The 13,813-nt window shown below is 43.0% G+C and overlaps 1 protein-coding gene and 1 pseudogene across 4 annotated transcripts in view; one reads left to right on the top strand and one right to left on the bottom strand.

Moving 5' to 3' along the window:
• Positions 1–13,813, top strand: part of DNA2 (DNA replication helicase/nuclease 2) — a 58,458-nt gene that overhangs the window by 2,741 nt on the left and 41,904 nt on the right. For 3 of the 4 annotated variants that reach the window (NR_102264.2, XM_006717680.3, NM_001080449.3), the window contains 3 exons: positions 1,475–1,658; positions 3,969–4,114; positions 10,546–10,677. Coding sequence is in view for 3 of the 4 variants with exons in the window: in XM_006717680.3 (XP_006717743.1) it covers positions 1,475–1,658; positions 3,969–4,114; positions 10,546–10,677 (462 nt within the window). In the remaining variant the exon portion in view is untranslated. Of the gene's footprint in view, positions 1–1,474; positions 1,659–3,968; positions 4,115–10,545; positions 10,678–13,813 lie in introns of those variants that run through there. The other variant, XM_017015799.1, reaches the window with a different exon arrangement.
• Positions 8,256–8,374, bottom strand: RNA5SP319 (RNA, 5S ribosomal pseudogene 319; annotated as a pseudogene).

Genomic DNA, 13,813 nt, shown 5'->3' with positions numbered 1-13,813 from the left:
ATTTGAAAATCACGTGGGCCAGGCATGGTGGCTCACACCTGTAATCCCAGCACTTTGGGAGGCCAAGGCAGGCGGATCACCTCAGGTCAGGAGTTTGAGACCAGCCTGACCAACATGGAGAAACCCAGTCTCTACTAAAAATAAAAAAAAATTAGCTGGGTATGGTGGCACTTGCCTGTAATCCCAGGTACTCTGGAGGCTGAGGCAGGAGAATTGCTTGAACCTGGGAGGTGGAGGTTGTGGTGAGCTGAGATCATGCCATTGCACTCCAGCCTAGGCAACAAGAGCGAAACTTCATCTCAAAAAAAAGAAAAGAAAATCACGTACAAAGGACCTTATTAATGACTACTTCCTATTTCCCAGTACATTCTTTTTTTTTTTTTTTTTTTTGTATTTTTAGTAGAGACAGGGTTTCACCATGTTAGCCAGGATGGTCTCGAATCCCCTGACCTCGTGATCCGCCCACCTCGGCCTCCCAAAGTGGTGGGATTACAGGCGTGAGCCACCGCGCCCGGCCTTCCCAGTACATTCTAAGATTGCAGTTTAAACACATGTTAGTTTTAACTAAAAGCAAAATTAATTAAAACATATGGACATTCTTAGGCCTTAGATTTCTCTACCCAAAGTGTGGTATGTGAGGGGTGGAGTGTAGATGCAGAAAAGCTAGAGGTCTAACTTTGACTCTTCGTCTAAGCCGTGAATTAATTTGTTTTTTGTTGTTGTGGTTTTTGGAGACGGAGTCTTGCTCTGTCGCCCAGGCTAGAGTGCAATGGCGTGATCGCGGCTCACTGCAACCTCCGCTTCCTGGGTTCAAGCGATTCTCCTGCCTCAGCCTCACAAGTAGCTGGGATTACAGGCGTCCGCCACCACGCCCGGCTAATTTTTGTATTTTTAGTAGAGACGGGGTTTCACCATGTTGCCCAGGCTGGTCTTGAACTCCTGACTTCAGGAATCCACCTGCCTCGGCCTCCCAAAGTGCTGGGATTATAGGCATGAGCCACCGCGCCTGGCCTAGTTTCAACTAGTTCAGTTTGATTTTATTCTTGCTACACTGGATTTGGCTTCATGCTTCAAGACTTATACAAGCTGTAGATTTCCTAAAAGTCTTAAGAAAGAGTAAATTATTAAAACAACCCAATTCATAATTGGAGCTATATATTACATTAGCAAAGGTTTTTTGATAGCTTTTGCAATAGACTTTACTGGCACTAAGTTGTTTTCCCTTTGGGATTTATAGAAGACCCTTGAGTATTCTCAGATGTGTTTGACACATAGAAAGGGGTAGAATAACTAGGGGTTGTTTTAGAAGACTGTATCCTGCTATTTGATTTTTTTTTTTAAAGACCCAGAAATTTAGAAATATTTTTTTCTTCTTCAGATAAAATACTCATTTATTTTTTTGAAGCCTCCCTAATACGTTTACATGTAGGAACCTAAGCTATGTATTTATACTTTAACTTTGCTTTATTTTCAGGTGTTCTGTTCCAGTAGAGCCAGGAGATATCATTCATTTGGAGGGAGACTGCACATCTGACACTTGGATAATAGATAAAGATTTTGGATATTTGATTCTGTATCCAGACATGCTGATTTCTGGCACCAGCATAGCCAGTAGTATTCGATGTATGAGAAGAGCTGTCCTGAGTGAAACTTTTAGGGTAAATAATAGTAACAGTTAATGTTTCTGCAGGGTCTGAGAGTTTTACAGAGCACTTTTACATTTATTATTTCACTTAATCCTCCCAGCAACCCTATAAAATAAATGGTATTAATTAGCTGCATTTTATAGATGAGGAAAATGGGCTCAGAGAGGTGAAGTGACTTGCCCCATAGCCACATAACTATGAGGTGGCAGTGCTAGGACTAAAGGCCAGGTGCCTGAGTCCTTCGAATCTTGTTCAGGGCTTAATAAAATAACTAATTATAATAAGAAAATTAATTTAAATGATAAACTTTTAAATTTAAACACACCTAGACATTTCCAAAGTTGGCTTCATGTGATTCCCACTAAACTAAAAATAAATGTGCAAACTGCTTTTAAAAAATGTATTTTGCTAGAAAAATTAGCCAGGTGTGGTGGCGTGCACCTGTAGTCCCAGCTACTCAGGAGGCTGAGGCAGGAGAATCGTTTAAACCCGGGAGATGGAGGTTGCAGTGAGCCGAGATCATGCTACTGCAGTCTAGCCTGGGCGGCAGAGCAAGACTCTGTGTCAAAACAAACAAACAAAAATGTATTTTGGACTATTTCAAACATACAAAGAGATGATTGTAATAAACTCCCATGTACTCAACACCCAGCTTTTTATTTATTTTTCTTGAAACATGCAGTTTTATTTTAAAATAAAAAGTCTCAAAAAAAAAACGTATTTTGGGGCTGGGCGCAGTGGCTTACGCCTGTAATCCCAGCACTTTGAGAGGCCGAGGTGAGCAGTTCATGAAGTCAGGAGTTCAAGACCAGCCTGACCAACATGATGAAAACCAGTCTCTACTAAATACACAAAAATTAGCCGGGCGTTGTGGTGCGCGCCTGTAATCCTAGCTACTCGAGAGGCTGAGGCAGAATTGCTTGAACCCTGGAGGCGGAGGTTGCAGTGAGCTGAGATCCCACCACTGCACTTCACGGTGGGAGATAGAGGGAGACTCCGTCTCAAAACAAACAAAAATGTATTTTGGGCTATTTCAAACATACAAAGAGATGATCGTACCCAACACCCAGCTTTTTATATATTTTTCTTGAAACGTACTTTTATTTTATTTTGAGTCTCACTGTGTCACCCAGGCTGGAGTGCAGTGTGTCACTGAAGCCTTGACCTCCCAGGCCACCTCAGCCTCCCTAGTAGCTGGGACTATAGGCATGAGCTACTGTGCTTGGCCTGAATATTAAGTTTTAAAAAACTTTTTGGACCGGGCGCAGTGGCTCACGCCTGTAATCCCAGCACTTTGGGAGGCCAAGGCTGGCGGATCACGAGGTCAGGAGATCAAGACCATCCTGGCTGACATGGTCAAACCCCATCTCTATTAAAAATACAAAAAAATTAGCCGGGTGTGGTGGCGGGCGCCTGTAGTCCCAGCTACTCGGGAGGCTGAGGCAGGAGAATGGCGTGAACCTGGGAGGCGGAGCTTGCAGTGAGCAAAAGTCGCGCGGCTGCACTCCAGCCTGGGTGACAGAGCGAAACTCTGTCTCAAAAAAAAAAAAAAAAGGTCTAGGCTAATACAAGAGTTAATCAAGAAATGTAGTGTTTCTTTTTGAGTGGAGAAAAATTCCTTGCCAAAAATCTCTGCTGTAGGTTAAAAAAATTTTTTTTCTTCCCAAACATTACTGCTAAGTAGGTTTACATTTTATGTTTGAATGGTATCTTTTACTTACATGAGTTTATCAGCTATGCCTTTATTGACTTTTCTATTGGGTGGATTATCAAGTGAAATAAGAGAACAATACTTTAAATATTAATTATTTGAGAATATTTTGAATTTTAAAATATTGGTTATTTTAATTTTTTTCAAAATGGAGAACATTGATTTTAAAAGTAATTCATATCAGCCTGGCCAACATGGTGAAACCCTGCCTCTACTAAAAATACAAAAAATAAAAGTTAGCCGGGCATGATAGCACACACCTGTAATTCCAGCTACTTGGGAGGTTGAGGCATGAGAATCATTTGAACCTGGGAGATGAAGGTTGCAGTGAGCTGAGATTGTGCCACTGTGCTCCAGCCTGGGTGACAGAGCAAGACTCTGTCTCAAAAAAGAAAAAAAAAAGGATAACTCATACAGTAATTCAGACAATTCTGGATAGAAGAAAGTGAAAGTCACTTATAATTCCACGCACCAGAAAAAAATTTTTTTAATATTTTGGCATTTGTCTTACCAGTGCATTTTGGCTATGGTGGTTTAATAGATTAGGTAATAAATATACAATTGTGTCTGTTAATATGTTGTGAAATAAACTGTGTGATTTGCTTTTGTAGAGCTCTGATCCAGCCACACGCCAAATGCTAATTGGTACGGTTCTCCATGAGGTGTTTCAAAAAGCCATAAATAATAGCTTTGCCCCAGAAAAGCTACAAGAACTTGCTTTTCAAACAATTCAAGAAATAAGACATTTGAAGGAAATGTAAGTAGTTATAAGAAGAACTGCAGGTATAATTTTATTATATAACTTCTGTCCTAGAAACTATAAAGTATTTGTGTAGACTATCCAATATAAATTAGTGTAATCTAAAATGCAGATTTCATAGTTCTAGTACATTGTTGGAACTCTGTGAAGAGTTTCTGAAATTGCTCAACAGGAACTTTTTGGGTAAAAATACCTAAATATTTTGTACATGTGCATAACAGATTCCTTAAGTACTTTCAGAGAATGTATAAAGAACTTTTTTGCATTAGTTCTAGAAACAGTGTGATATACTGAGAATTATATGGGGTTGGGAAGAAGATGAAACTGGTTTCAAAGTGCATCTTTACGGCCAGGTGCGGTGGCTCACGCCTGTAATCCCAGCACTTTGGGAGGCCGAGGTGGGCGGATCAGAAGTCAGGAAATCGAGACCATCCTGGCTAACATGGTGAAACCCCGTCTCTACTAAAAATACAAAAAATTAGCAGGGCATGGTGGCAGGCGCCTGTAGTCCCAGCTACTCGGAAGGCTGAGGCAGGAGAATGGTGTGAACCCGGGAGGTAGAGCTTGCAGTGAGCCGAGATCACACCACTGCACTCCAGCCTGGGTGACAAAGCAAGACTCCATCTCAAAAAAAAAAAAAAAAAATGCAGCTTTACAGTATTTTTTTTTTGGAGGGGAGATAGGGGTCTTGCTATGTTGTCCAGGCTGTACTCAAACGACTGGGCTCATGTGTTTCTCCCCACCTCAGCCTCCTGAGTATCTGGAACAACAGGTACATGCCACCATGGCTGGCCTGCCTTACCAGTTTTTTTTTTTTTTTTTTTTTTTTTTTTTGAGGTGGAGTTTCGCTCTTGTTGTCCAGGCTGGAGTGTAATGGTGTGATCTCAGGTCACCACAACCTCTGCCTCCCAGGTTCAAGCAATTCTGCTGCCTCAGCCTCCCGAGTAGCTGGGATTACAGGCATGCACCACCACGCCTGGCTAATTTTGTATTTTTAGTAGAGACGGGGTTTCTCCATGTTGAGGCTGGTCTCGAACTCCTGACCTAGGTGATCCGCCTGCCTCGGCCTCCCACAGTGCTGGGATTACAGGCGTGAGCCACTGCGCCCGGCCTACCTTACCAGTTTTTGTTTTGTTTTGTTTTGTTTTCGAGACGGAGTCTTGCTCTGTCACCCAAGGTGGAGTGCGGTGGCTTGCTCTTGGCTCATTGCAGCCTCTACCTCCCGGGTTCAAGCAATTTTCCTGCCTCAGCCTCTCGAGTAGCTGGGATTACAGGCATGAGCCACCACACCCGGCTAATTTTTTTGTACTTTTAGTGAAGACGGGGTTTAACCATGTTGGCCAGGCTGGTTTTGTACTACTGACCTCAAGTGATCCACCCACCTTGGCGTCCCAAAGTGCTGGGATTACAGGCATGAGCCACCAGGCCTGGCCTAAAATTTTGATACATATTACCAAATTGCTCTCTATAGACATTGTCCAAGTTTACATTTCTACTGGCAATATATGAGACTTTGTGAGACCATATGGTCATCTACATCATTTTTAATCAACTGGAAACTGCCTGATTTCAAACAGCCTTTTGCAAGGATAACCTTCATCTTCAGTACTCTAAATGTGTGTTTCTCTAGATCTTTTTTGGATGCTTTGGTATTAGCAGTTGCTTTCTGGCTTGAGGAATTTCAGCTTCTCTTTCAACCTGTGGTTGCTATTTTGTTTAAGTCAATTTTGGCAGAGCTAGCATTGCTAATTTTGTCTTCTCTGTTGGACTGGCTCTCTCAGAGGGCTGACACAACTCTGCTCTGTCAGTCTTGGTAAGCTGGAGGTGGCAGAAACCTAGGAAAGTAACAGCTTATTAAATTTGGTGTTTAATATTGCACAGTTATATGGTAAATGTGTATTATCCTGAAGTCTCAATGTCTGATGAATGTGTTATTATGGTGCTCCCTTAAGCAAGTGAGAAAAATTGTAAGTTGTATCTTTTTTTTTTTTTTTTGAGATGGAGTCTTCCTCTGTCGTTCAGGCTGGAGTGCAGTGGCTCACTAGGCTCACTGCAAGCTCCACCTCCTGGGTTCACGCCATTCTCCTGCCTCACCCTCCCGAGTATCTGATCTGGGACTACAGGCGCCTGCCACCACGCCTGGAATAGTGCTGACCTATAGTTAGCACTGTATTTATGGTTATCATCATGGTCTTTACATCTTTTTTTTTTTTTTTTTTTGAGATGGAGTCTTGCTCTGTCCCCCAGGCTGGAGTGCAGTGGCACAATCTCGGCTCACTGCAAGCTCCGCCTCCTGGGTTCACGCCATTCTCCTGCCTCAGCCTCCCGAGTAGCTGGGACTACAGGCGGCCGCCACCACGCCCGGCTGAATTTTTGTATTTTTAGTAGAGACGGGGTTTCACTGTGTTAGCCAGGATGGTCCCGATCTCCTGACCTCGTGATCCACCCGCTTCGGCCTCCCAAAGTGCTGGGATTACAGGTGTGAGCCACTGCGTCCGGCCAGGTCTTTACATCTTAATGATTTTTTTTTTTCTTTTTGAATCTGGCTCTGTCGCCCAGGCTGGAGTACAGCACCGTGATCTCGGCTCATTGCAACCTCTGTCTCCCAGGTTCAAGTGGTTCTCCTGCCTCAGCCTTCTCTTTAGCTGGGATTACAGGCGTGTGCCACCATGGCCGGCTAATTTTTTTGCATTTGTTAGTAAAGATGGGGTTTCACCATGTTGGCCAGGCTGGTCTCAAACTCCTGACCTCAGGTGATCCACCCTCCTTGGCCTCCCAAAGTGCTGGGATTATAGGTGTGAGCCACCATGCCCAGCCTATACTTTAATGAGGGCTTACCATCAGCTAAGTGCTTTACATACATTGTTCTATTTAATCCTCAGACTGACACTGTAAGGTAGTTATTATCTCCTCCTTACAGATGAGGAAACAGGCTTAATTAACCGTGACTTGCTCTTAGTCATACATCTGGTAGTGCAGAGTTAGGATTCAAACCTAGGTGTGATTTTATATACAAACTGATAAGCCCCTACCACCCTAGAGTAGTTATTAAGATTGCGGAGCTTAAACATAAAGAAGGAACTGGAATAATCATCCTGGGAGGGTAAGTTTATAACAGCAGTTCTCAAAACTTTTGCTCTCAGGACCCCTTTACACTAAAAAATTATTAAAGACTGGAAAGAGCTTTTGTTTATGTGGGCTATATCTATGATTAATTACTGTACTAGAAAGTAAAACATGTTTATTAATTCATTTGAAATTAACATGTATATTCATTTTTGCTGTGGTTGTTATTGAGACAGTCTTGCTCTGTCACCCAGGCTGGATTGCAATGGCATGACCTCGGCTCACTGCAACCTCCACCTCCTGGGTCAATCAATTCTCCTGCCTCAGCCTCCTGAGTAGCTGGGATTACAGGTGCCTGCCACCACACCCGGCTAATTTTTGTGTTTGTGAGTAGAGACAGGGTTTCACCATATTGGCCAGGCTGGTCTTGAACTCCTGACCTCAAGTGATCCACTCGTCTTGGCTTCCCAAAGTGTTGGGATTATAGGTATGAGCCACTGCACCTAGCCTAAAATGTATTTCATTCAAAAATATCAATCTATGCTTGTTAACATAACATTTTAATGAAAAAACTATTGTAAAAAAATGTAATGAATGTCATTGTTTTACATTTTTTTCAGTTTCTTTTTGCTTTCTTTCTTCCTTATTTATTTTTTTTGAGGTAAGGTGTCTCTCTGTTGCCCAGGCTGGAGTGCAATGATGAAATTATCACCCACTGTAGCCTCAAACAATCCTCCAGCCTCTATTTTTTTTTTTTTTTTTTTTTTTTGAGACGGAGTTTCACTCTTGTTTCCCAGGCTGGAGTGCAGTGGCATGATCTCAGCTCACCGAAACCTCCGCCTTCCGGGTTCAAGCAATTATCTTGCCTCAGCCTCCCGAGTAGCTGGGATTACAGGCATGCACCACCATGCCTGGCTAATTTTGTATTTTTAGTAGAGATGGGGTTTCTCCACGTTGGTCAGGCTGATCTCAAACTCCCAACCTCAGGTGATCTGCCCATCTCTGCCTCCCAAAGTGCTGAGATTACAGGCATGAGCCACAGAGCCTGGCCATTTTTTTTCTTTCTTTCTTAAAGCTACAGCACCCAATATTCCCAGGTGGTCTCCCATCCAAGTAGTAACCAAGCTCAACCCTGCTTAGCTTCTGAGATAAGATGAGATCGGCTGCGTTCTGGGTGGTATGGGTGTAGACCAAGCCTCTATTTTTGCAAATGTTTTAAATGTATGACTTCATATAAGATCGTGGATTCTTGTATCTGCTTCTGCATTCAAAATATTTCTATGTTTTATGTCATGTACCCTCAGAAAATTCAACTGTACTCTTATGAAAGGAAAATGATAAAAAATGTATTCATATTGTTACGACATAATTTTGACCTTGTAAGAACCCTGAAAAATTGAGACTTAGTTTTTTTGTTTCTGTAGATTTCTCACATAAGAAGTTAACATTCCTATATACTGTCCTTTCATGTTGTAAGGCTGATACTGCCTTTCTGTCCATATGACCCTTTTTTCTCTTTTACATTTCTACTTTCCATTGCTTGGTTTCAGGAGCAATATCTCCATTTTTTTAATCCCAAAGGTGTAACTGGGACTCTTCCAATTAGACCATGGTATGAATTAGAGCAAATTATCTGAAATTTGATGTCATGTCACTGTTTCAGTGTTATTTGGATTTTTTTTTTTTTTTAAACAGGGTCTCACTCTGTCACCCAGGCTGGAGTACAGTGGTGAGATCACAGGTCACGTAACCTCAAACTTTTGGGCTGAAACGATCCTTCCGCTTCAGCCTGCTGAGTAGCTGGGACTATAGTTTCACACCACCATGCTTGGCGTTATTTGGATGTTTTTTAAAAATTGTGGTTAAATGCACATAAAAATTACCGTGTTAGGCCAGGTGCAATGGCTCACCCCTGTAATCCCAGCACTTTCAGAGGCCGAGGCGGGCAGATCACGTGAGGTCAGGGGTTCAAGACCAGGCTGGCCAACATGGTGAAACCCCGTCTTTACTAAAAATACAAAAATTAGCTGGGCGTGGTGTCATATGTCTATGGTTCCAGCTACTCAGGGGACTGAGGCAGGAGCATCATTTGAACCTGGGAGGCAAACGTTGCAGTGAGTAGAGATCGCGCCAGCCTGGGCAACAAGAGTGAAACTCTCTCTCAAAAAAAAAAAAAAATTACCGTATTAGGTCAGGTGCGGTGGCTCATGCCTGTTATCCCAGCACTTTGGGAGGCCAAGGTGGGCAGATTGCTTGAGCCCAGGAGTTTGAGACCAGCCTGGCCAACATGGTGAAACCCAATCTCTACTGAAAATACAGAAAAATTACCTTAGCATGGTGGTGTGTGCCTGTAATTCCAGCTACTCTGAAGGCTGAGTGGGGAGAATCACTTGAGCCTATAAGGCAGAGGTTGCAATGAGCCGAGATAGCGCTACTACACTCCAGCCTGGGTGACAGCGTGAGACCCTGTCTCAAAAAATAAAAAAAGAAAAGAGAAAAAGAAAAAGAAGAAAAAAAATTACCATGTTAACTTGTATGTGTGTGTGTGTGTGTGTGTGTGTGTGTGTATTTGTGATGGAGTCTTGCTCTCTTGCCCAGGCTGGAGTGCACTGGTGCGATCTCAGCTCACTGCAACCTCTGCCTCCTGGATTCCAGCAATTCTCCTGCCTCAGCCTCCCAAGGAGCGGGGATTACAGGCATGCACCACCATGCCTGGCTAATTTTTGTGTTTTTAGTAGAGACAGCGTTTCACCATGTTGGCCAGGCTTGTCTCGAACTGCTGACCTTGTGATCCACCTGCCTCCGCATCCCAAAGTGCTGGGATTACAGATGTGAGCCACTGCGCTCTGCCCATGTTAGCCATTTTTAAGGGTACAGTTCAGAGGCAAAGTACATTCACCTTGTTGTACAGCCATCACCCTATCTATCTCCAGAACTCTTTGCATCTTCCCAAACTGAAGCTTTGTGCCCTTGAAACAATAACGCTCCCTTCTTTCCTCCTCCCAGCCTCTGACAACCCCCATTCTACTTTCTATCTCTGTGATTTTCACTACTGTAGGTACCTCATATGAATATTAGTCCTTTTGTGACTGGCCTATTTCACTTAGCGTAATGTCCTGAAGGTTCTTCAATGTTGTAACATATGTCAGAATTTCCTTCCTTTTTATAGCTGAATAATACTGCATTGTATGGAATATGCCACATTTTGTTTATCCATTTATTGGCTGACGAACAGTTGGGTTGCTTATATGTATTTTTTTGTCCTCGTTTACTTTTCTCATATTTATACTTTCATATTCGCTATCATATTTTTGGCAGGTACCGCTTAAGTCTAAGTCTATTTACTATTATATTTTTGGCAGGTACCGCTTAAATCTAAGTCAAGATGAAATAAAACAAGAAGTAGAGGACTATCTTCCTTCGTTTTGTAAATGGGCAGGAGATTTCATGCATAAAAACACTTCGACTGACTTCCCTCAGATGCAGCTCTCTCTGTAAGAAACACATTTTGTTTATATATATAGTCTTCATATTTTTAGACCAGGATGCCATTCTGTGTGTTGAATCAAAGTTTTTAAAGATTGAGTAATTACAATTAGCCATTTTGCTTGCTTATTTTATAAATTATGGTCCTAAGTATCTTTCCATGACAAAAAAGAACCCAGTGAATAGAAAATTTTATTTTCATTATTATGATAGCTTATTTTCTATATGTAGATATGTATTTTCTTTTTCTTTCTTTTTTTTTGAGATGGAGTTTTGCTCTGTCGCACAGGCTGGAAATACAGTGGCACTGATCTCTGCTCCCGGCAACCTCCGCCTCCCAGGTTCAAGTGATTCTCCTATCTCAGCCTCCCAAGTAGGTGGGATTACAGGCGCCTGCCACCACACCTGGCTAATTTTGTATTTTTAGTAGAGACAGGGTTTCACCATGTTGGCTAGACTGGCCTCGAACTCCTAACTTCAGGTGATCCACCCGCCTCAGCCTCCCAAAGTGCTGGGATTACAGGCATGAGCCACTGTGCCCAGCCTCTTTCTTCTTCTTTTTTTTTTTTTTCTTTTTTGATACAGAGTCTTGCTCTGTTGCCCAGGCTGGAGTGCAGTGGCATGATTTCGGCTTACTGCAACCTCCGCCTCCCGGGGTTCAAGCAATTATTCTGCCTCAGCCTCCCAAGTACCTGGGATTACAGGCGCCCACCACCATACCCGGCTAATTTTTTGTATTTTTAGTAGAGACAGGGTTTTGCCATGTTGGCCAGGCTGGTCTTGAATGCCTGACCTCTGGTGATCCACACACCTTGGCCTACCAAAGTACTGGGATTACAGGTGTGAGCAACTATGCCTGGTCTGTATTTTCTTATAAAGTAATCAATTTATAAATATTCTGGGGGTCCTAATTTTTATCATTTGATTCTTTTTTTTTTTGAGACGGAGTCTCATTATGTCCCCCAGGCTGGAGTGCAATGGTGTGATCTCTGCTCACTGCAACCTCCACCTCCTGGGTTCAAGCAATTCTCCTGCCTCAGCCTCCTGAGTAGCTGGGATTACAGGTGTGTGCCACCACACCTGGCTAGTTTTTGCATTTTTATTAGAGATGAAGTTTCACCATGTTGGCCAGGCTGGTCTCGAACTCCTGACCTCAAGTGATCCTCCCACCTTGGCCTCCCAACCTGCTGGGATTACGGGCATGAGGCACTGTACCTGGCCTCATTTGATTCTTTCATGTGTATTTTTCTGTGTTACTAGCATATAGTCTGTGTCATGTGTTGACTGTCATATGGATGTGCTATATATTTACTGTGTTTAGCCATTTAATGCTGTTTGGCATTATGTGTATTTTCAAGTTTTTTTTTTTTTTTTCTCAAAGTGGCATTGTTATAATTTTATAGGGGAAATATGTTTTTTTCTGTTATTCATTTAGCAAATATTTATTGGGTGTCTAATATATGCCAAGTAATGTTTTAGGTGCTTGGATCATGGTAGCAAAAAACAAAACAAAACATACAACTGCCTACTTTGTGGAGTTTCTATACCACTGTACAAGTAAACAGCAGGGGACCAGACTGTGATTAATGCAGTGCCGAACAATGAGGAGGATAAGAAGAAAGGGAGAATAGGTAGGTAGTGGTGGCAGGGATATTCCATAGAATGTTCATGGAAGGCCTTCCTCATAAGGTAGCATTTGAGCAGAAGCTTAAAGGAAATGAAGTAGTGAACCGTACAGCTGTCTGTAGGAGGAATGTTCTAGGTAGGGGAAACGGCAAAAGCCCTGTGGCTGACACATACTAGCTGTGTGTGCAGTATCTCAGCGAACTAGTGTGATGGCTAGAGCAAAGTGCAGTAGGAGAAGAGCAGCAGTAGTTCCCCTGGAGCCTTATCATCCTGGTCAGGACTTGGCTGCTGCTCTGATTAGAATGGAAGCCATTGGAGGGTTTTTATCTGATTTCCATTTTTTTTTTTTTTTGAGATGGAGTCTCGCTCTGTTGCCCAGGCTGGAGTGCAGTGGCGCGATCTTGGCTCACTGCAACCTCCGCCTCCCGGGTTCACGCCATTCTCCTGCCTCAGCCTCCTGAGTAGCTGGGACTACAGGTGCCTGCCACCATGCCTGGCTAATTTTTTGTATTTTTAGTAGAGCCGGGGTTTCACCGTGTTAGCCAGGATGGTCTCGATCTCCTGACCTTGTAATCCGCCCACCTTGGCCTCCCAAAGTGCTGGGATTACAGGCGTGAGCCACCGTGCCCGGCTCCTTTTTTTTTTTTTAAACTGGCAGAGTTTTATTTTTCTTTAAATAGGCACGACTTCCATGTATACTAATATTCTCAATGTTCTCTCAATATTTTCAATATTTTATAACATTTTGTGATCTAAAAAATTTGCTTTAAGGGGGTCCGGGCATGGTGGCTCATGCCTGTAATCCCTGCACTTTTGGAGGTTGAGGCACTGTATCAACTGGCTCAGGAGTTTGAGACCAGCCTGGCCAACATGGTGGAACACCATCTCTACTAAAAATATGAAAATTAGCCAGGCGTGGTGGTGGGTGCCTGTAATCCCAGCTACTCGGGAGGCTGAGGCAGGAGGATTGCTTGAACTAGGAGGCAGAGATTACAGCGAGCCGAGATCGTGCCACTGCACTGTAGCCTGGGCAACAAAACGAGACTCCACCTCAAAAAACAAAAATGCTTTAAGATTTGTGAGTCACAAAGCTTTGCAGTAGTTAGTTCTTTGGACCTATTCCCTGTGGTTCGAATGATATAATGAGCCTGGATGTGAATCCCAGTTTGGCTGTAATTTAGCTGTATAACTACAGCAGGCTCCTTAACTTGTGTGTGCTAGTTTCTGCCTTGATCTCATTTACTTTTTTTTTTCTCTCTCTGTTTTGAGACAAGGTCTCACTCTTGCCCAGACTGGAGTGCAGTGGTGTGATTTAGGCTCACTGCAACCTCTGCCTCCTGAGTTCAAACAGTCATTCCACCTCAGCCTTCTGAGTAGCTGGGACTACAGGTGCACACCACTTTGCCTGGCTAATTTTTGTATTTTTTGTAGAGATGGTGTTTTGCCATGTTACCCAGGATGGCTAGTCTCGAACTCCTGGACTCAAATGATCCTCCTGCCTTGGCCTCCCAAAGTGCT

Source organism: Homo sapiens, chromosome 10 (assembly GCF_000001405.40).
Source record: "Homo sapiens chromosome 10, GRCh38.p14 Primary Assembly".
Classification (NCBI taxonomy): Eukaryota; Metazoa; Chordata; class Mammalia; order Primates; family Hominidae; genus Homo; species Homo sapiens.
The sequence above is the reverse complement of the archived record's forward strand: the minus strand, read 5'-3'. Positions and strand labels throughout refer to the sequence as shown.